The following is a 21,961-nucleotide window of genomic DNA, read 5'->3' as shown; positions in this document are numbered from 1 at the left end:
CTCCTGTCAGATCAGCGGCATTACATTCTCATAGGAGTGTGATCCCTATTGTCAACTGCGCATGTGAGGAATCTAGGTTGTGCATATTTTTATGAGAATCTAACTAATGCCTGATGATCTGAGGTGGAACAATTTCATCCCCAAACCACCCCCCTCATCCGTGGAAAAGTTGTCTTCCATGAAACCAGTCCCCGGTGCCCAAAGGTTGGGGACTGCTGTTTTAAGGAATAAGTACACTAAGTCAAGCTGCTATGAAGTTGTTACAGTTTAAGGGACATTCTTAAGAAGGAATTACTTAAGTATATTACTCTTCTCATTTTCAAGGACATGAAAAAGTAAAGGATGTTCTAGCACTATTTTATATTTTTTTGACTTGTACTGAATATATGTACTTTGAGGTTTTACATCTATAACTAGAAAGTATACTAATCCAAGGTCTGGTTATTAGGCCAGATTCTTGCTCAGTTATTTTTATCTCTGTCAAAAGTTAAACTAATGTTGTCTCCTTTTTAGTAAGATTCTACGAAAGTTTTTTAACTATTAAAGTTATTTCTTAAGGAGTAGCTCTTACATTTCCTCTACTCTCTTTTTCAGTTTCCATAAAAAGCTGTTTTCTTAGCTATTACTCCAAATAAAATTCTTTGGTTTGCAAAAAGAAAACAAAACAAAACAAAAAAAAGAATAGGTAACGGCCGTGAGCGGTAGCTTACACCTGCAATCCCAGCACTTTGGAAGGCCGAGGCAGGCGGATCACGAGATCAGGAGATCGAGACCATCCTGGCTAACACGGTGAAACCCCGTCTCTACTATAAATACAAAAAATTAGCCGGGTGTGGTGGCAGGCGCCTGTAGTCCCAGCTACTCGGGAGGCTGAGGCAGGAGAATGGCGTGAAAACGGGAAGCGGAGCTTGCAGTGAGCCGAGATCATGCTGGGTGGCAGAGCGAAACTCCGTCTCGAAACAAAAAAAAAGAAGTAATTGCATTGAGAAAGTTCTGCATTATTCTGAGTCATATTCTTCAATCTCAATTTATTAATAAGTTTCATTTTAGAGGTAGGTGATGTGATGGCTCATCTTTAGATATGCTGTCATATTTCTGAAATATTTACAATAACTGTCTTAAGTTTCCATTATATAGTTTTGTACTCCAATTATTATGTAAGCCATAATTCCCACTGTTTAAAGTGGGAAAATGATTGTTACAAATGTCATATTATTTTAGAAGACATTAGACAGAAAAGATTCTTTCCCAGTTGAGTAGAAGTTCTTACCGCCCCCCTCTCAATGGATTTTATTGTTTTTTTCCTCAGGGAACATTTGCAAATCTGGGCATGGACTGTGGACCAGGCTTGCCTAAGTAGGAAGAGTCTGCTGGGCTAAAGATAAACCAGTGGAGCTTTTGATTGCTGCTTTGGCTAGTGTGACAGTTTGGAACCTGGAAAGGCCTAAATATAGGGCTGCCAATTTTCTCCCACTGGACTTTAGCTGAATGCTGAGGCATTTAAGGATTGGATAGAAACATGCAATGAAGTTCCGTACAGTTGAACAGTGCTTAAAAGTCATAGTCCTGGCAGATGGAAAGATGTTTAATAACATCAGACAAGTTGTGCCCTTAAGATCTTTGAAACCAGAGTGAAAATGAGGTAAATGCAAGCTGTAACCCATCCCTGAGATGCTTATTTCTTGATTGGATGAAGGTGATCCATCCATCACTCTGGCTGCCTGTACAAGAAAAAGGCTTGATATCTCTGGGGAAATACACATCAAATTCAGCTTTTATGTCATTTTAGGAACAGTCTGGCATTGAGACTAAATTGGGTAGACATATTAAGAAGCAATAATATGTGACCCAGTGCATATATTATTGAAAAATAGAGCCAATAAAACCATATATTTACAAGATTTATATGCTAAATGAACAAAAAGAGCTTTAATATTACTACTATAAACATGTAAAACAGCATGAAGAGAAGCTTAATTATATTGCATAAAAATTAATAAATTTACCAGAGAAATGATATGCATTAAAAAAGTACATAAACTAACACTGAAAAATCCAATATTTGTAAGCATTCACTGGATGTGTTCAGCATTAAAAACAAACAGCTAAAGAAAATCAATAGAACCTATTAAAACTAAAACTTAGAGAAAAACAGTGAAAAAAATGAAAAACAGAGTAAAACAAAACAGCATGAAATACATAAAGAGACACTGTAAAAGATTTTACCATATACACTTTGGAGTTCTAGAAGAAAAGGAGAGAAAGAATATGGCAAGAAACTATGGTTCAAGAAATAATTATATATATTTTTTCAAAACTGATGAAGGTAATCAACTACATGTTAACGAATTGTATTACATTTCAAGCTGGGTGCGGTGGCTCACACCTGTAATCCCAGCACTTTGGGAGGCCGAGGCGGGTGGATCACCTGAGGTCAGCAGTTCGACACCAGCCTGGCCAACATGGTGAAACCCCGTCTCTACTAAAAATACAAAAATTAGCCAGGCATGGTGGCACACGCCTGTAATCCCAGCTACTCGGGAGGCTGAGGCAGGAGAATTGCTTGAGCCCGGGAGACAGAGGTTGCAGTGAGCAGAGATTGTGCCACTGCACTCCAGCCTGGCCGACAGAGCAAGACTCTGTCTCAAAAAAAAAAAAAAAAAAGAATTGTATTACATTTCAAAAAGAATTTTGGAATTAGTTTTTAAAACACATCAAAATCAAATTGCTGAAAATGAAAGATCAAGAGAAAATCTGGAAAAAATAAAAACAAAAAAAACCCAAAACCAGTCAGGGGAAAAAAAGATAAATTCTTTCCAAAAGGGCAACACTGAACCTGACAACAGACTTTCTAACAGAATTATGAAAGTCAAAAAACAATAAACGGACACCTTTAATGTGATAAGCAAAAAGTTTTGCTGACTAGACTTCTATAACCAGCAAAAATATACTTGAAACACCAAGGTGCAATATAAAGATTTCAAAAAAACACAAGTTGAGAAAAATTGTCACCAACAGAGTCATACTACTATGGATACTAAAAGATCTTTGAACAGAAGTTTAATAAAGATCCCAGGTGGAGGCAGGAAAGTTAAAGACAAAATAAATAACAACTAAAATAGAAAAGTATGCCGATTTCCAGAAATGATGTCAATAATTTATTAAAGGAACAATTGTGATGTTTTATGGATTATTTATTTTTTAAAAATTCTTCTCAAAATAATAATGGTAATACACATTTTTTGTATGTTTTCTATGAGTTTTTGAAAATAGATTCATGTAACCATGACCACAAATAGGTTACAGAGCAATTTCTCCCCAAGCGTCCTTATATATTTTACAGTTCTTTACATATTCAGGATTGAATCCTATTTTGAATATGTGGTTTCAAAATATTTTCTCCCAGTCAGTTGCTTCTCATCAAACAGGTGGAAGATACTTGACAAATTATGTACAAGACCTGTGTGCTGTAAAGCATAAACCATGCATGATGGTTAGTTTCATGTGTCAACTTGACTGGATGATGGGGTGCCCACAGACTCAGTTAAAAATGATTTCTGAGTCTATCTGCACAGGTGTTTCTGGATGATATCAGTATTTGAATCAGTAGATGGAGTAAAGCAGATTGCCCTCCCAAATATGGGTGGGCATAATCCAACTCACTGAGGGTCTGAGCCCAACAAAAAGCCAGAGGAAAAGAGAACTCACTCTTTCTACTCGGCTACTTGAGCTGGAACTTTTGTTTCCTGACCTCAAACTGGAGTTTATATTATTGGTGTCTCAGGCCTTTGGCCTTGGGCCAGGGCTACACTTTCAGGTTTTCTTGGGATCCAGATTGCAGAAGGCAGATCATAGCACTTCCTAGCCCTTCCATAATCACAGGAGCCATTTCCTTATAACTACACACACACACACACACACACACACACACACACACACACACACACACACAGACATGTGCACACATATATATGTCCATATCCTACTGGTCCTGTTTCTTTGGAGAACACTGACTAATGCACCATGTTTATAGAATTAAAGAGACCTAAATGGAAAGATTTATTATGATCATGGATTAGATGACTCAATATTGCTAAGCTATCAATCATTCCCAAAACTGATTCACAGATTTAAAATAATTCCAAATTTCTGGCATCTTTTTTCTTAAAAATTGACATGCTGACTAAATTATTTACATTTGAAAATGCAAAGGAAAATAAGTAACCAAAAGAAATTTTGAAAAAGAACAAAGTTGGAGGATTTCACTGTCTGAAAAAAGTCTTAGTAAAAAGCTGTTGCATTCAAGACAGTAGGGTGTTGGCATAAATAAACACATATAGCTCAATGAATTTCTCCAAAATAGGGGATCTACAAGTACACTCATTATCTATCTATCTATCTATCTATCTATCTATCTATCTATCTATCTATCCATCCGTCTATTATCTATCTGTCTATCATCTATCTATCTGTCTACTTATTATCTATCTATCTGGCAAATTGATTTTCAACAATGGTATCAAAGTAATTCAATGTGGAAAGGATAGTCTTTTGATCAAGTGGTGCTGAAACAATTAAATATTAATTAAAAAATAAACCACACCGTCTTCTTCACACAAAATACAAAAAGAGGCTTTTGTTTCTATTTCTTTATGTCAGTATATCTTTGAGATTGATCCATTTTGTGATGAGTCATTGCAGCAGTTCATTCTCTTTAATTGTTGTGTAGTAGTCCGTTTTATTATTGTAACAGCCTGTTCTTTTTAACAGCTTTACTGAGATAAAGTTCACCTATCATTAAATTCACTCTTTTACATCGCTAAGTTAAAAGGTTTTTAGTATATTCTCAAGAGTTGTGTGACTATCATCATTATTTAATTTTAAAACGTTTTCATTGCTTTTTCACTTCATTTTTATTATTCTGAGATAGTATAATAAAAATAATTATACACTGAAATGTGGAGGTAAAACATAAAAATGTAGAAGAAAAAAATTAGAATGGTATAGACGAAGATTTGTTAGACAGGACGCAGAAAAAAGTACTATATATAGAAGAAAACATAAAGTTAACTTGATCCAAATAAAAATTTTCTACTCTTCAAAAGTTATCATTAAGAAAATTTAAAGGCAAGTTACATGTATTGAAATAAAACAGATTATGCATATATGTTCTAAAGTCTTATGTCATGAATATATAAAAAACTCTTACAACTCAATATGGAGAAGAAAAACAATCCAATGAAAATAATCGAGTATTTGAGTACATGTTTCACAAAGGAAGAGTAACAATTAGCCAGTATTTAAATTACTGATGTTTAATATCAGTAATTATCAAGGACATGTAAATTAAATCTATGATGTAATTCTACTATACAACTTCTATAATGGTTAATATTAATAGTACTGACAATACCAAGTATTTTAGAGATTATGGTACAATTTTAATATACACCAATTATACATGGCTCTCATATATTACTAGAGATATTGAAGAATTGTACAACCAATTTGGAAAAATGTTTAGCAGCTTTTAGTTGTACAAGTTTACAATTCATGTAACCCAGAAATTAATGTAAATTATGTCAAAGAGACAAGAATTTTCATAGCATTTTTCATAATGGCCCCAAACTGGAAGCAAATGAATGCCATCAATGGGTGAATTAATAGGTAAACTGTGGTACAACTTGTTTTACTTCATTTATTTGAAATGTCCGGAATAGACAAATTCATAGAGACAGAAAATAGGTGAGTGGTTTCCAGGGGCTGAGGAGCAAAGTTATGGGGACTGACTGCTAAAGGGTTTGGAACTTCTTCTTAGAGCAATGAAAAAGTTTTAAAATTAAATAATGATGATAGTTGTACAACTCTGAGAATATACTCAAAACCTTTTAAGTTAGTGATTTAAAAGGGTGAATTTAAAGGTATGTAAACTTTAGCTCAATAAAGCTGTTAAAAGAACAAACATAATAATAAAATGGACTACTACACAGCAATTAAAGAGAATGAATTGCTACCATGACTCATCACAAAATGGATCAATCTCAAAAATATACTGACATAGAGAAACAGAAAAAAAAGAGCGCATCCTGTTTTACTTCATTTACATATTTTTCTTCTTCCGCTTTTTTTTTTTTTTTTTTTTTTTTTTGAGACAGAGTCTTGCTCTGTCGCCCAGGCTGGAGTGCAGTGGCGCGATCTCAGCTCACTGCAAGCTCCGCCACCCGAGTTCACGCCTTTCTCCTGCCTCAGCCTCCCGAGTAACTGGGACTACAGGCTCCTGCCACCATGCCGGGCTAATTTTTTTGTATTTTTTTTTAATAGAGACGAGGTTTAACTGTGTTAGCCAGGATGGTCTCTATCTCCTGATCCGCCCACCTTGGCCTCCCAAAGTGCTGGGATTACAGGCGTGAGCCACCGTGCCTGGTCCATTTACATATTTTTAAGAAGATGTAACATATAGGGATGATCACAGGTCACAACAGACAGGTTAGTCTACAGTAAGAATAACTGGAGGTATTCTGGAAGATGGCATACATGGAAAAGCGTCATCTTAGTGCATGCATGGAAAAGCATCATCTTAAGGAAATGTTTTATGTCTTCATCGGTTTGGTGATTATATAAATGTATATATTTATATGTTAGCATCTCTGAGACACACACAAAGGATTGGTACACTTTATGCAACTTATTGTATATATAATGTCTTGTAAAAAGAGCCCAATTTGTTGTTATATTGTGAAATTTTATCACAAACTGTATAAAGTAGTCCATTTTTTTATAACTAAAATGGTTATATAAAAATTACTCTTTATTATTCTTTCTGTACTTATCAATAATGATTTAACTGCAAATAATACAATGTCTCACTCTTTTGTTGTCTCAACCTTGATGGGATTATGGGTAAGAAAAAGCTTATTGGGCAAATATTGAACAGCTTCAGGTTTTAAGGATATAATTTGTTGCTCTAATACTCTTATGGTGACCCCATTTGTAATTCCAAAAGAGAAAAAATATAATGTTGAAATGATGTGTAATAAACTATGCTTAGAATATTAAAATGAAAAATATTTTGCAAAATACCATTGGATGAAAAGGCAGGGAGATATGAATTTGCAGTGGTATGTTAAAAAATATATATATATATACTAATTGGTGATGGGTGGAATTTTTCAGAAAAAATTTAAATGCTAATGTATCTGGTCAAATCGTTCAGCTGGGAAACAAGTGGGCCTGTTTTTGTTGTTTGTTCTCCCAGCTTCCAATTTCTGTCTATCAAGAAAAATCATTTTATGAATTAATAAAAGCTTTCCAGAATGAAAATAAAAGGATATGCGATATGCAGCTTAATGGCTAGAATGTGTTGCCAGGATTTTGTAATTTATACAGTTTGTTATGACTAGAACAATGTTCCAATGCACTGAACTTTAGTGATGAAATGTCAGCTTCCTACTGAGCAGTTCAGGAGACAGGCCCACACCGCCTTGCTTCCAGAAGAGTTGTCATTTATATCCACCTCCAGCAAGCAAAATTGTGAAGCTGGTGTGATGATATTAGGCACTGTTCATCTTCGAAATAAAAATAAAAAGCATTTACAAATAAAACCTTTTGAAATGTTCAATACTTCAATTTTCTTCAACACTGAAGAAAAGGGTGGGGGAAGATGAAAAAATCTGGTGAGAAAGACCCAGATGAATCTTTTTATTTTATCTTGAATTTAAGCCCTTTCAAAACAATGTGTTTACTGTTCCTGACAAAAATCACAATTTTTTAAGTCATTACTTTTCATGTTGACCCATGAGTAATAGATGCAGTCCAATTCAGTGACTAAGGGAGACCAAATGTGGCTTGATATTAAAGTCAAGCTACCAAGAATAAAAGGCTTTCCATGTCACCACCTAACAAATAGTATCTTTAAAGTTCTTAGTTTATCCATGAGATACTAGAATAATTACTTTGATTAATGAGTGAACTGTTATTATCAAGAGATTTGTATTAAGTAATTCAAAGCAGGATTATGGCTTTTACCAAGTTAATCACTACTACCTGTGATATCCTTTCCTTTTTATTCACTTGTTCTTAGAAACTAATTTTGTAGAAAATAAAAACTCAGACAGGAAACATATCTTGAGAGAATGGGGACACACAGGACACCTGTCATTGGATCCTACCTTGTGAACCCACAGTGACTGGACTTTTGATTCAGACCTAGATGTTAACTTAAAGTATACACGTGCACACTCTTACCAATTTTTAACATGAGTCCATTGATACTTCCCCTTGATATTTCTTGTGTGTGCTTATCCATAATATATGCCATTTCCAGTGTTATTTTTATTTAGAGGGGAGTGAGAAATTAAAAGGAGTTGCAAAGTAATTCTTGGCATTATCATTCATTAATTTTATAAATCATTTCCAGTTTTATACATTTGTTCCTAAGTAGTGCATTTTTAAAAATTTATTTTAGGTTTGAGGATACACGTGAAGATTTGTTAAATAGGTTAACACAATTTGTTAAATCATCAAATTGTGTCATGGGGCTTTGTTGCACATATTATTACATCACACAGGTATTAAGCTCAGTACCCAATAGTTATGTTTTCTTCTCCTCTCTCTCCTCCTACCCTCCCCTGTCAAGTAGACCCCAGGGTCTGCTGTTTCCTTCTTTGTGTTCATAAGTTCTTATCCTTTAGCTCCCACTTATAAGTGAGAACATTCGGTAGTTGGTTGCTTGTTCCTGCATTAGTTTGATAAAGATGATAACCTCCTACTGCATGTTCCTGAAAAATACATGATCGTGTTCTCTTTTTTTATGGCTGCATAATATTGCATGGTGTATATGTACCACATTTTATGAAGTCTGTCATTGATGGGCATTCAGGTCGATTCCATGTCTTTGCTATTGGGAATAGTGCTGCAATGAACATTGGCATGCATGTGTCTTTATAGTAGAATGATTTATATTCCTCTGGGCATATGCCCAGTAATGGGATTGCTGGGTCGAATGGTAGTTCTGCTTTTACCTGTTTGAGGAATTGCCATACTGCGTTCCGCAATGGATGAACACTCCCACCAACAGTGTATGAGGGTTCCCTTTTTCCATAACCTTAATAGCATCTGTTATTTTTTGACTTTTTACTAATGGTCATTCTGACTGGTGTGAGATGTTATCTCACTGGGTTTTTCATTTGCCTTTCTCTAGCAATCAATGATATTGAGCTTATTTTTCATATGCTTGTTGGCTGCACGTATGTATTCTTTTGAGAAGTGTCTGTTCATGTCCTTTGCCTACTTTTTAATGGGGTTGTTTGATTTTCTCTTGTAAATTTGTTTAAGTTTTTTATAGATGCTGGATATTAGACCTTTGTCCGATGCATAGTTTACAAAAATTTTCTCCCATTATGTAGGTTGTCTGTTCACTTTGTTGATAGTTTCCTCTGCTGTGCAGAAGCTCTTTAGTTTAATTAGATCCCATTTGTCCATTTTTGCTTTTGTTGCAATTGCTTTTGGTGTCTTTGTCATGAAATCTTTGCCCATTCCTATGTCCAGGATGGTATTGCCTAGGTTGTCTTCCAGGGTTTATATAGTTTTGAGTTTTACATTTAAGTCTTTAATCCATATTGAGTTGATTTTTATATATTGTGTGAGGAAGGGGTTCAGCTTCAATCTTCTACATATGGCTAGCCAGTTATTCCAGCAACATTAATTGAACAGAGAGTCTTTTTCCCATTACTTGTGTCTGTCAGCTTTGTCAAAGATCAGATGGTAGTAGATGTGTAGCCTTATTTCTGGGCTCTCTATTCTGTTCCTTTGGTCTGTGTGTCGGTTTTTGTACCAATACCATGCTGTTTTGGTCACTGTAGCCTTGTATAGCTTGAAGTCAGATAATGTGATTCCTCCAGCTTTTTGTTGTTGTTGCTGTTTGTTTTGTTTTGTTTTTGTTTTTGTTTTGCTTAGGATTGCCTTGGCTATTTGGGCTCTTTTTTCGTTCCATATACATTTTAAAATATTTTTTTCTAGTTCTGTGAAGAATGTCATTGGTAGTTTGATGGGAATAGCATTGAATCTGTAAATTGCTTTGGGCAGTATAGCCATTTTAATGATATTGATTCTTTTTATCCATAAGCATAAAATGTTTTTCCATTTGTTTGTGTTTTCTCTGATTCCTTCAAGCAGTGTTTTCTAATTCTCATTGTAGAGATTTTTCACCTCCCTGGTTAGCTGTATTCCTAAGTATTTTTTTTCTATGTGTGGCAATTGTGAATGGGATTTAAGTAGTGCATTTTGAATTACTGTTTTCTGGTGCTAACAGGTAAGGACAATATTGTCTCAAATACTCAACTTAGTTTCCTTCAAACAACTATCCTTTTCTATTCATATTTACTTATTTTATACATTTTTAACAAAGCTATGTAGTCACAGCAACTTGACATAAAGGTGTAGAGTTAGTGGAAACAGAAGAACATAGGTTTATGGGAAAGTAAGGCATCATGGTTTAATGTCTCGTGGTTTCTTAGCTGGTGTTCAGTGAGGAACAGATAGGATGAACTTCTTTGTTAAATGATTAAGTGAATGTTACTTAAGAGAGGATCTACTGTATAAAATGAAAATAAAATCAACTATATTCATTCATTCTAATACCTGATTAGATATGAAATCTCAGATGTGATTCTTAACCAATAATTTGAGGAAGTTCTAAAGTGGGGTTGGCTATTATCCTGAATAAAATCTACTTATTTAGATATAAACTGTCTGGGAACTTCACAGGGAAGATGTTCAAATAGTGTTTAAAAGAGAAGAGAAGATAGAAGAAGGAGCAAATAAACATGGCTGGTCACTTTAAATTTGCTAGAATGCTTCACTTTTACAGGTTCATTGGTGTTTACTCTTGCTCCCATTTCTTTTCCTGTAATCATGTCTGATGGAATATGTCCAAAGATCTGCTTATCTAATATGCAAAAAATACATTTTTCATTTGTTTTATATAAATAGTATGGTATAGTACTCTCTATAATGCCTTATCCTCTCACCGTAAGAAAAGTGCAAGATACAGACCATTTTAATGTCCTGATTTGCTACCTCTAAGCTTAGCTGAAGAAAGCATAGAAGTATTACATACTTTTAGGTTTGTTTTAATATTATTTAATTAATTACATATAATTAATTCCCTCTGTATAATACATAAAATTGATAATAGTAACCATTTTAATGTGTTTTACATGTTTAAACTTGTAAGTGGAGATTTTGAAGATCCATGTTCTTGTGTTAGAAGGTGAAGAAAGATAAAATGTAACTACAGAGTATTTTGAAGGGCATGTTTTAATGTTACATAAGTAAAATAAAAACCGTAATGCATAGAGTAGTAAGGAGATCCCAAAAAATGCACTGACCAACACAATAAACACAATACATAGTCCAAATTTAAATGATATTTTAGCAGATTTTAGGAAAATCTCAGCAAGTACTATGGTTTGAATATCTGTGTACCTCCAAAATTCATGTTGAAAGCTAATCTCCAATGGAACAGTTTTTAAGAGGTGGGGCCTTTAGGAGGTGATTAGACCATGAGAGATCTGGACACGGTGTTCATCCCTTTTTCGCTCTTCAGCCATGTGAGGACACCTAGATGATGTCATTTATGAGGAAAGGGCCTTCATCAGACTCTGGTCCTGCTGGTGCCTTGATCTTGGACTTCCTACTCTCCAGAACTGTGAGAAATAAATTTTTCTTTTTAAATTATCTAGTCTCAAGTATTTTGTGATAGCAGCAAAAGCAAATAAAGACAGCTAGTATGAGAGCTCTAGAGCATGGGAAAGAAAATAGCAAGAGGAAAGTAGTTTAGATTTGAAACTTTAGTCTGCCCAAGAATTACATGGGTTACTCATTAAATATGCATATCTCTTGTTTCCAATAGATCTCTTTCAGTAGCTCCATGGTGATGTGCAGGGATCTACATTTTTAAGATTAGACTGTTAGATCTACTAAAATGTAATCTCTGTGAAAGTAGGAAAAAGTGATTTGTAACTTGTCTTCTTCATTGATATATCCTCAAAAGCTAGGACATTTCCTGAAATACAGTATGTTTTCAATAAATGTTTGTTGAATAAACAAACTTATAAGATAACAATAGTACAGGCCGAAAACTAAAGAAACTTTGAAAAATACTCTTATCTTAGGCACATCATTAAAATATCAACTTTGGCAGAGACGTGGAGCAAGATGACTGCATAGAAGTTTCTACTGATCATTTCCCACCGCTTCCACGGGAACACCAAGTTTGATATCCACACAAAGGGAGCACCTTCAAAGGAAGCAAAAATCAGGTGAGCACTGACAGTGCCTGGTTTTGAATTAATATTTCTGAAAGAGGCACTGAAGAGGGTAGGCAAAATAGTCTTAAACTGCTAACATTATCCCTCTCCCATTCCCCAGCAGCAGCTGTGTGGCATGGAGAATTTGTGCACTTGGGAGGGAAAGTGCAGTGATTGTGATGCTTTGCATTGAACTTGGTGCTTCCCTGTCACAGTGGAAAGCAGAACCAGACTGTACTTATCTAACGCTTTCCTACAGAGGGAATGTGTGGACAGAGCCTAGCCAGATGGGAATGGTCCATCCCAGTGGTCAGAGTTTGAGTTCCAGCAAGCCTAGCTCCTAAGTGCTGAGCTGGTCTCAGAGCCAGTGGACTTGGGGGATATGCAACCTACTGAGATACCAGCAAGGGTGCTAAGGGAATGCTTGCATCTTCCCTTTCCCAACCCCAGGCAGCACAGTTCACAGCTGCAAAAGAGACCCCTTCCTTCTACTTGAGGAGAGGAGAGGAAAGAGAAAACTGGACTTTTTCTTGTATCTTGAATAAAAACTCAGCCACAGTAGATTAGAGCACCATAAGGCCTATAAGCCCCATTGCAAGCCCTAGCTCCCAGATAACATTTCTAGACACACCCTGGGCCAGAAGGGAACATACTGCCTTGAAAGAAAGGATCCAGTACAAGCAGAATCCATCACCTCCTGACTAAAGAGCACTTGGGACCTGAAGAATCTCACAGCAATACCCAGCTGTGAGACTTGAGTGAGACTCAGAGACATGCTGGCTTCAGGAAAGAACCAGCACATTCCCAGCTGTGGAGGCTATGAGGAGAAACTCCTTCTATTTGAGAAAAGCAAAGGCAAAAGCAAAGGGGACTTTGTGTTGCATCTTAGGTACCAGCTCAGCCACAGTAGGGTAGAGCACCAAGCAGGCTCATCAGGTCCCCAGTTACAGGCCTTGGTTCACGGCATTTTAGGACCTACCCTGGACCGAGGGGAGACCACTACCATGAAGAATGAGTCCCAGGCCTGGCAGCATTCACCACAAGCTGACTAAAGATCCTTTGGGCCTCAACTGAACATTGGCAGTAGGCTGTTAGTACTTCCCATGGGCTTATGATGGTGGAGCCTACGGGGTGAGGCTCCTTTGCCTTTAGAAAGGGAGGGAAGAATGGGGAGGACTCCATTTTGTGGTTTGAGTACCAGCTCAGCTCCAGGGGAACAGAATGCAAGGTAGATTTTTAAAGTTTTTTCTCCAGTACCTGGCTCCTAGATGGCATCTCTAGACCCACCCACGACCTGGGGGAACTTGCTACCCTGAAGGGAAGAACACAATACTGGCTGGCTTTACTACCTGCTGATTGTAGAGACCCAGAACCTTGAACAAACATAGGTAGTAGCCTAGTAGTGGTCACGTTGAGCGTTGGGCAAGACCTAGAGCTGTGCTGACTTCAGTTCTGATTCAGCAGTGTCCCAGGGGAGGTGGCTACAAAGGTGCTTGTGTTATGTCATCCCCAGCTCCAGGAAGCTCAGCATACAAAGAGAAACTCCATTGGTTTTGGAGAAAGTAAGGAAAGAGAACAAGAGTCTCTGCCTGGTAATCCAGATAATTCTTCCAGATCTTATCCAAGACCACTTAAGTGGTACTTCTGTGAGTCTACAAGGACCACAGTATTGCTGGGCTTGGGGTGCCACTTAATGCATATACAGTTTAGATCACAACACCCAAGTCCTTCTGAATACTTAAGAAGCCTTCCCAAGGAGAAAGGGTACAAAGAAGCCCAGATGGCGATGACTATAATAAGTACCTAACTCTTCAATGCTCAGACACCAAAGAACTTCCGCAAGCATCAAGAACATTCAGGGAATATGATCTAACCAAATAGAGTAAATAAGGCACAAGGAACCAATCCTGGAGAAACAGAGACACGTGACATTTCAGACAGAGTATTATTATGAAAATAGCTGTCTTGAAGAAACTCAAAGAAATTCAAGATAACACTGAGAAGGAATTCAGAATCCTATCAGGTAAATTTAACAAAGACATTAAAGTAATTAAAAGGAATCAAGCAGAAATTCTGGAGCTGAAAAATGCAATTGACATATTGAAGAATGCATCAGAGTCTTTTAATAGCAGACTCAATCAAGCAGGAGAAAGTATTAGTGAGCTTGAAGACAGGCTATTTGAAATACACAGTCAGAGGAGACAAAAGAAAAAAAGAATAAAAATAAAGCATGCCTTCAGGATCTAGAAAATGCATCAAAAGGGAAAAATCTAAGTTATTGGCCTTAAGTGGGAGGCAGAGGAAGGGATGGAGTAGAAAGTTTATTCAACAGGATAATAACAGAGAAGCCCAAACCTAGAGAAAGCTATATATATATATATATATTCAAGGACAAGAAGGTTATAGAATACTAATGTGATTTAACCAAAAGAAGACTACCTCAAAGCATTTAATAATCAAACTTCCAAAGGTCAAGGACAAAGAAAGGATTCTGAAAGTAGCAAGATAAAAAACAATTAACATACAATGGAGCTCCAATATGTCTGGCAGCAGACATTTCTGTGGAAACCTTAAGGTCAGGAGAGAGTGGCATGACATAGTTAAAGTGCTAAAAGAAAAAAAAAGCTTATACCACAGAATGGTACATCCAGGGTATATATTCTTCAAACATGAAGGAGAGATAAAGACTCAGACAAACAAAAGCTGAGGGATTTCATCAACACCAGGCCTGTCCTCCGAGAGATGCTAAAAGGAATATATTAATCACAAGAAAAATAGATGTAAATGAGCAAAAAGAAATCATCTGAAGGTACAAAACTCACTGGTAATAGTAAGTACACTGAAAAACACAGAATATAAAAACACTGTAGCTGTGTTGTGTAAAGTATCCTTGCCTTAAGTAGAAAGAATAAAACAGGAACCAATCAAAAATAATAACTACAACTTTTCAAGACATAGATTGTACGATAAGATATAAATAGAAACAACAAAAAGTTAGAAAGTGGGAGAGGAAGTTTAAGTGTAGAGTTTTTATCAGTTTTCTTTTTGCTTATTAGTTTGTTTACATATGCAAGCAGTGTTAAGTTGTTATCAACTGAAAATGTGTTATATTATTTGCAAGCCTCTTGGTAACGTGAAATCAAAAAACATATAATGTACACATGAAAAAGAAAAAGCCAGACATTAAATCACACACCTGAGAAAATCACTTTTACTAAAAGGAAGACAGGAAAGAGGAAAAGAAGGAAGAACAGACCACAAAACCACCAGAAAATAAATAACAAGATAGTAGGAGTAAGTCCTTACTTATCAATAATAACATTGATTATAAATTGACTAAACTTACAAATTAAAAAATAGAGTGACTGAATGAATAAAAAACCAAGATCCAATAATCTGTTGCCTAGAAGAAACACATTGCACCTATAAAGACATACAAAAACTGAAAATGAAGGGATGGAAAGATATATTTCATGCAAATGAAAATCAAAAAAGAATAGGAGTAGGTATAGTTACATCAGACAAAATAGGTTTCAAGACGAAACTATAAGAAGAGACAAAGTAGGTCACTATGTATGAATAAGGGGTCAATTCACCAGGAGGATATAAACATTATAAAAATATATGCACCCAACAACTGGAGCACTTAGACATCTAATGCAAATATTATTAGAGCTAAAGCAAGAGATGGACCACAATACAATAATAGCTGCAGACTCCATTACTCCACTTTCAGCACTGGACAGATTTTAGACAGAAAATTTAAAAAAATCAGACTTATCTACACTATAGATCAAATAAACCTAGTTAGATATTTAAAGACCATTTCATCCAAGAGCCGCAGAACACACATTCTTTTCCTTAGTACATGAGTCATTCTCAATAATAAGCCATATGTTATGTCACAAAACAAGTCCTAAAACATTCAAAAAATTGAAATACTGTCAAGTATCTTCTCTGAACACGATGGAATAAAACTAGAAATCAATAACAAATGAATTTTGGAGAATATAAAAACACATGGAAATTAAACAATATGCTCCTGAATGACCAGTGGGTCAAAGAAGAAATTAAGGAAGAAATTGAAAAATTTATTGAAAGAAATGATAATGGAAACACAACATACCAAGACCTATGGGATATAGCAAAAGGAGTACTAAGATAGAAGTTTATAGCTATGAGTGCCTATATCAAAAAACAAGAACAATTTTAAATAAAAAATTTAATAACGTAAATTTAATAACAACTTAAAATACTAGACCATCAAGAACAAATCAAACAGAAATTAGTAGAAGAAAAAAAATTCAGAATAGAGATACATAAATTTAAATGAAGAAAACAATACCAAATATCAATGAAACAAAAAGATGCTTTTTGAGAAGATAAACAAATTGACAAACTTTTAGCCAGACTAAGAAAAAAAAAGATCCAAATAAATATATTCAGAGATGAAAGAGGAGACATTACAACCAATACAATAGAAATTCAAAGAATCCTTAGTAGCTACTATGAGCAACTATATGCTAATTAATTGGAAAATCTGGAAGAAATAAATTCCTAGACACATACAACTTATCAAGATTGGACCATGAAGAAATCTAAACCTGACTAGACAAATAATAACAAGATTGAATCCGTAATAAGTCTTCTAGTAAAGAAAAGTCAGGCAGGAATCCAACTGTTTTACACTGAATTCTACCAAAATTTAAAGAAGAATTAGTACCCCATCCTATTCAAAGGATTCTGAAAAATAGAGGAGGAGGGAATACTTCTATTCTCATACTATGAGGCCAGTGTTACTCTGATACCAACCTGAGACAGAGACATCAAAAAAGAAACCACAGGCCAATATTATTGGTTACTATTAATGCAAAAATCCTCAACAGTATATTATTAAGACAAATTCAACAACACATGAAAAAGATCATTCATCACGACCAAGTAATATTGATCCCAGAGATGCAAAGATAGTTCTACATATGCAAGTCACTCAGTGTGATGCATCATGTCAAAGAATGAAGGGAAAAAATATAGGATCATTGCAACTTACACTGAAAAGGCATTTGATAAAATTCAACATTTTTTCATGATGAAAACACTCCAAAATCTTGGTATAACAGGAAATACCTCAACATAATAGAAAGCATATCTGACAGACACACAGTTGTCATAATATCATATTGAATGGGGAGTATCTGAAAGCCTTTCCTCTAAGATCTGAAACGGGATGCCCACTTTCAACATTATTATTTAATGTGTTACTGGAAGTCCTAGCTAGAGCACTCAGACAATAGAAAGAAATAAAGGACATCCAAATTGGAAAGGAAGAAGTCAAATTTTCCTTCCTTGTTTACAGATGATATATTCTTATATTTGGGAAAATCTAAAGACACCACCAAAATCTATTAGAACTGATAAACTAATTCAGTAAAGTTGCAGAATAAAAAATCAACATACAAAAATCAGTAGTACTTCCATATGCTAACAGTGAACAATCTGAAAAAGAAATCAAGAAAGTAATCCCATTTGTAATAGCTGTAAATAAAATAAAATAAAATAAAATACCTAGGAATTAACCAAAGAAGTGAAAGATCTCTATAATGAAAGCTATAAAAAATTGTTGCAAGAAAGTGAAGATGCTACAAGAAAATGCAAAGATATTCCATGCTCATGGGATTGGAAGAATCAATATTTTTTAAATGTCCATACTATTTAGAGTAATGTACAGATTCAATGCAATCCCTATCAAAATGACTATGATACCAATGACATTCTTCACAGAATTAGAAAAAGCAATTTTAAAATTTATATGGAACCATGAAAGATCCAGAGTAGTCAAAGCTATCCTAAGCAAAAAGACCAAAACTGTAGGTATCACATTTACCCTGATGGTATTACTATGCACTATATGACTATATCAAAATATGTCAACATATACTCCTCTGTGTACCTACAAAATTTTTAAAAACCAACTTTGTCGCTAGGAACTAGACCACAAAGGACAAACACACACACAGGAAAGAGATCAAACATAGCATAAGAAATTAGAGAAAGTAAGAAAAAGAATGAGAAGAAAATAAAGAGGAAAATGAAAAAAAAAGCTTTCTAAAAATGAGGCCGCAAATGAAATTCCTAAACATAAGTAGGTACGTAAAGATATCTAAAGCTAAGACAATGAAAAAATCAACAATAAGAAAATAAATTTCATCCAGATGACATTGTTTTTAGAGTAGTCTGACAAAGATTAACATATATTTGGATTAAGCTAGAGAACTGAACACAAACATGTATTTTAGGTCAATAGTGAATTTACAAGTAAGTTACAGTAAATTGAATTTTTAAGGTATAAAATCACAAAGAACAGAATTCCAAAGACAACAAAATTTTGCCTTTAGAACATTATCTTCAGCTGCTTCTTTCTGCTCCAGATATGGCAAAAAAAAGTTAATGAAACGATCTTACAGGCTCGAGAAATCACTAGCAGTGATGGAAATGCACTTTCTAGAAAGTCAATGAAATATACAAGACCAATTCTCTAATCTCTTCTTTGCTGAACTGCATAGAACAAGGCTCATTCAAGCTAATATGGCATAAAAAAATCCCCATAAATAAAACATAGTTTAAATATATTCCTGCTGGAATAAAGTCTTCTAACTAAAATCATCATCTTTTTAATCCTATCTAATATGTGTTTATAATCTCCCACAACTATTGCTGAATTGGAATACCAAATAATTAATCAAAGCTACAATGGGAATTTCAGTGTTTTGTACATTTTTTCATTTAATATTGTTTCATAGTAAACTGACCAATGGTACCTTTTTCCCATATTTCTGTCTTCATACTATAACAAAATATCACTCCTGTAAGAAAAATTCTGCACATGTATGATTACTCTTTTTTTCTCTATGAAATGATAATTTCTTCATCCTTGATTATGCCATCTGAATTATTCTGACAGAAGTGCCACCTTCATAATCATTTAGCTTTAGAGCCATTTTTAAAAATCAGAATTATATTTATCAGAAGTTATAATGATTGCAGGGTATATTTTCTATCTTTGTAACAGAGCTGCTGGCTTTATGTATACTTTGCTGCTGGGTAAGTCCTCTTTTCTCCAAAATTATAAATACAAGATGTTGAAAGCGTTTTTCAAATACACACACACACACACACACACACACACACACATATACACACATATGTGTGTGTATTGTGTATGTATACATATATATTTAATAAGCTTATAATCACTCAAAAACACATCAGTGTCAGGGTGACAGATGCTTTGACAGTAAGCCAACATGGAAAGACAGAAAGAGCAGAATAAAAAAATTTAAAAAAATGTATCAATGTATCTGTCGAAGGAACTGGAGGACATGAACCAGTTACCTAAAACAATCAGCTCTGACAATTTTTGAAGTCTACGTTATTCATATCTTCAAGTATATTCTGCATTTGTTCCCAGAGATTGTGACTAGCATTACAATATGAGATACAGACTAAAAGACAGTAATGAAACTCTTGAATGTAAATATATGCATCAAATTATAATAAAATTTATCCTGTAAACTTGTTTTGAGGAAGTTCATGTAATGTTCCTTGCAAAATTGTGCACCCTCCTGGGTTAATGTTTATACCTTCTTAAAGTCCCGAAAGGATGAAATAATGATACCAAACAGCCAATATTTAATGATACATGTCTGTAGCTGGGTTTTCAATGTCCATGGAAAAATGCTTAGTATAATTCAGATAAAATATTCAAGACAAGTGTGTAGTCTATTAAATAATCAGTGGAAAAATCTTACCCGGAAAAAGGCAAACGTGAGTGGAATAAAGATCTCAAGCTATAGAACATTGTTTACAAATGCAGATAGATCCACAAACAAATTTTGCCATGTTCAAAGTCAGATTCAGGGAAGTGAATATAAGCGAACATATTTAAAGAAGAAAGTATACCTTCAAAATCAATCTCATTGATGGATTTACTAGTAATGAAAAGCATATTTGAATACTAATATCAACATTTTAAAATATTAATTTCTGAATTTAGAAGTTTTAGAGTTTTCTTTTTGGATTAAGAAATTCATCTGTTCACTCAGATTAATAATCAGCTTTTCAGGCTGTTTCCCCCTAAGGCTGAAATATAAAATTAATCACTTCCTCTTTGCCATCAACATTATGTAATGTTCATATTTTAGTATAATCCATACCACATTCTAATTCAATGATTTGTTTCTACTATTTTTTCTCTTCATATGCCTGTGAGCTAACTCTGCCAGCCTGTTTTGATTAACTTTGTATCCTTAGTAATATAGACTGATGTATTAGAGAGTCAAATGTTTAAATTCCTGAACAAATCATGTCAAAAAAGAAATAACATTCTCAGTGTGTTTTCCATAACTGGCACATTGGTAAAATAATTCTAGCATCTGGCACTCATCTTTTTTTTAGGATTAGCTGGATTTTAAAAATGCACACATTATATCAATTAATTTGAGGTTATATGTCCAAGACATAACTATTGCCTCTAAATCAGCAGAATTAACAAGTGGAATTTTCTTTCAGTTAAGTTTAGAAAAAAATAACATCAAAACAAAAACAAACTCAACCTGGGTCTATGAGCACTTTTGGATGCAAAAATGGAATATATAATTTAAGTTTTTCCTGAATTTTCCTTTGATAATGATATTTTAAAAAATCTATTGTACTTGTGTATATAAGGTTGTTATTATGGTCTAATTATGATATGTATCTCTGTTTTATAAAAGAGAGCAAATACAATATGTTAAGAAAAAGGAAATGTGATATAGCAGGTGGATTGTGGTGTTTGGGAACAGATAATCAGAATCTCCTATATGATTTGGGTAAATTGCTTAAGGTTGATTATATTTCATATCCTCATTTTAAGAAGTAGATTTAACAGTAAAAAGAATTATGAGGGTTGAACAAAAATATATATAAATTGGTAACTGGAAGGTAAACCTTCTATTTGTATTTTTCTATTCTACATAAAGCTTTAGTTTGGTATGTTAACAAACTAATGAAGTCTATGTGTTACTTGGCCATCTTAAACAAATATATGTATATCTATGTATTGGTGTGGCACCTGTTTTTCTGGATCCCTCTTAAACGTTCAGCTAAGAAAGCCAAGGTCAAATTAGAGGGCTGAAATAAAATCAACTGATGGCAAAACACACAAGATGGGAATGGTGTGGAGAGCTGCTATTGGCATTCTAGTTCCTATTTCTTCTGTTAAATGAGGACTATAATTTTGAAAAATAATAAAACACTTCTGTATATGCAGTTTTTTGCCTTGGGGTCAAACAATCCACACCTACAGTCACCAAACTAATTTTCCAGTTAGTTATATACATGTTCACAGCTTTTTATTATTAAATCAAATTCATTGAGGTGTATTTTAAATATACAGTTCTATTTTCTACTTCATTTATTTATATGTTACATTTTTATATTTTCTTTCTCTACTGAATTTGGGTTTAATGGTTTTTTTACCCTTTCTTAATGTGATAGTGTAGGTCATTACTTTTTATATTACTTATTTTTAATACAGGCATATCTCAGAGATTTGCAGGTTCAGCTCCGGATCACTGCAATAATGCAAATATCAAAATGAAGAGAGTCACACAAAT

The 21,961-nt window shown here is 34.4% G+C and overlaps 1 long non-coding RNA gene across 1 annotated transcript in view; it reads left to right on the top strand.

Annotated features, from left to right (window-relative positions):
- The window catches only part of LOC105378030 (uncharacterized), a 38,367-nt gene extending 16,753 nt beyond the window's left edge, over positions 1-21,614 (top strand). The window contains exons 2-3 of the long non-coding RNA XR_001744392.2: positions 11,606-11,707; positions 12,174-21,614. This is a non-coding gene — a long non-coding RNA (uncharacterized LOC105378030). The remainder of the gene's footprint in view (positions 1-11,605; positions 11,708-12,173) is intronic.
- The last annotated feature ends 347 nt before the right edge of the window (positions 21,615-21,961 follow it).

The sequence above is a fragment of the Homo sapiens genome, chromosome 6 (assembly GCF_000001405.40).
Source record: "Homo sapiens chromosome 6, GRCh38.p14 Primary Assembly".
Classification (NCBI taxonomy): Eukaryota; Metazoa; Chordata; class Mammalia; order Primates; family Hominidae; genus Homo; species Homo sapiens.
Note: the sequence above shows the minus strand (reverse complement) of the source record. Positions and strands in the feature narration are given on the sequence as shown.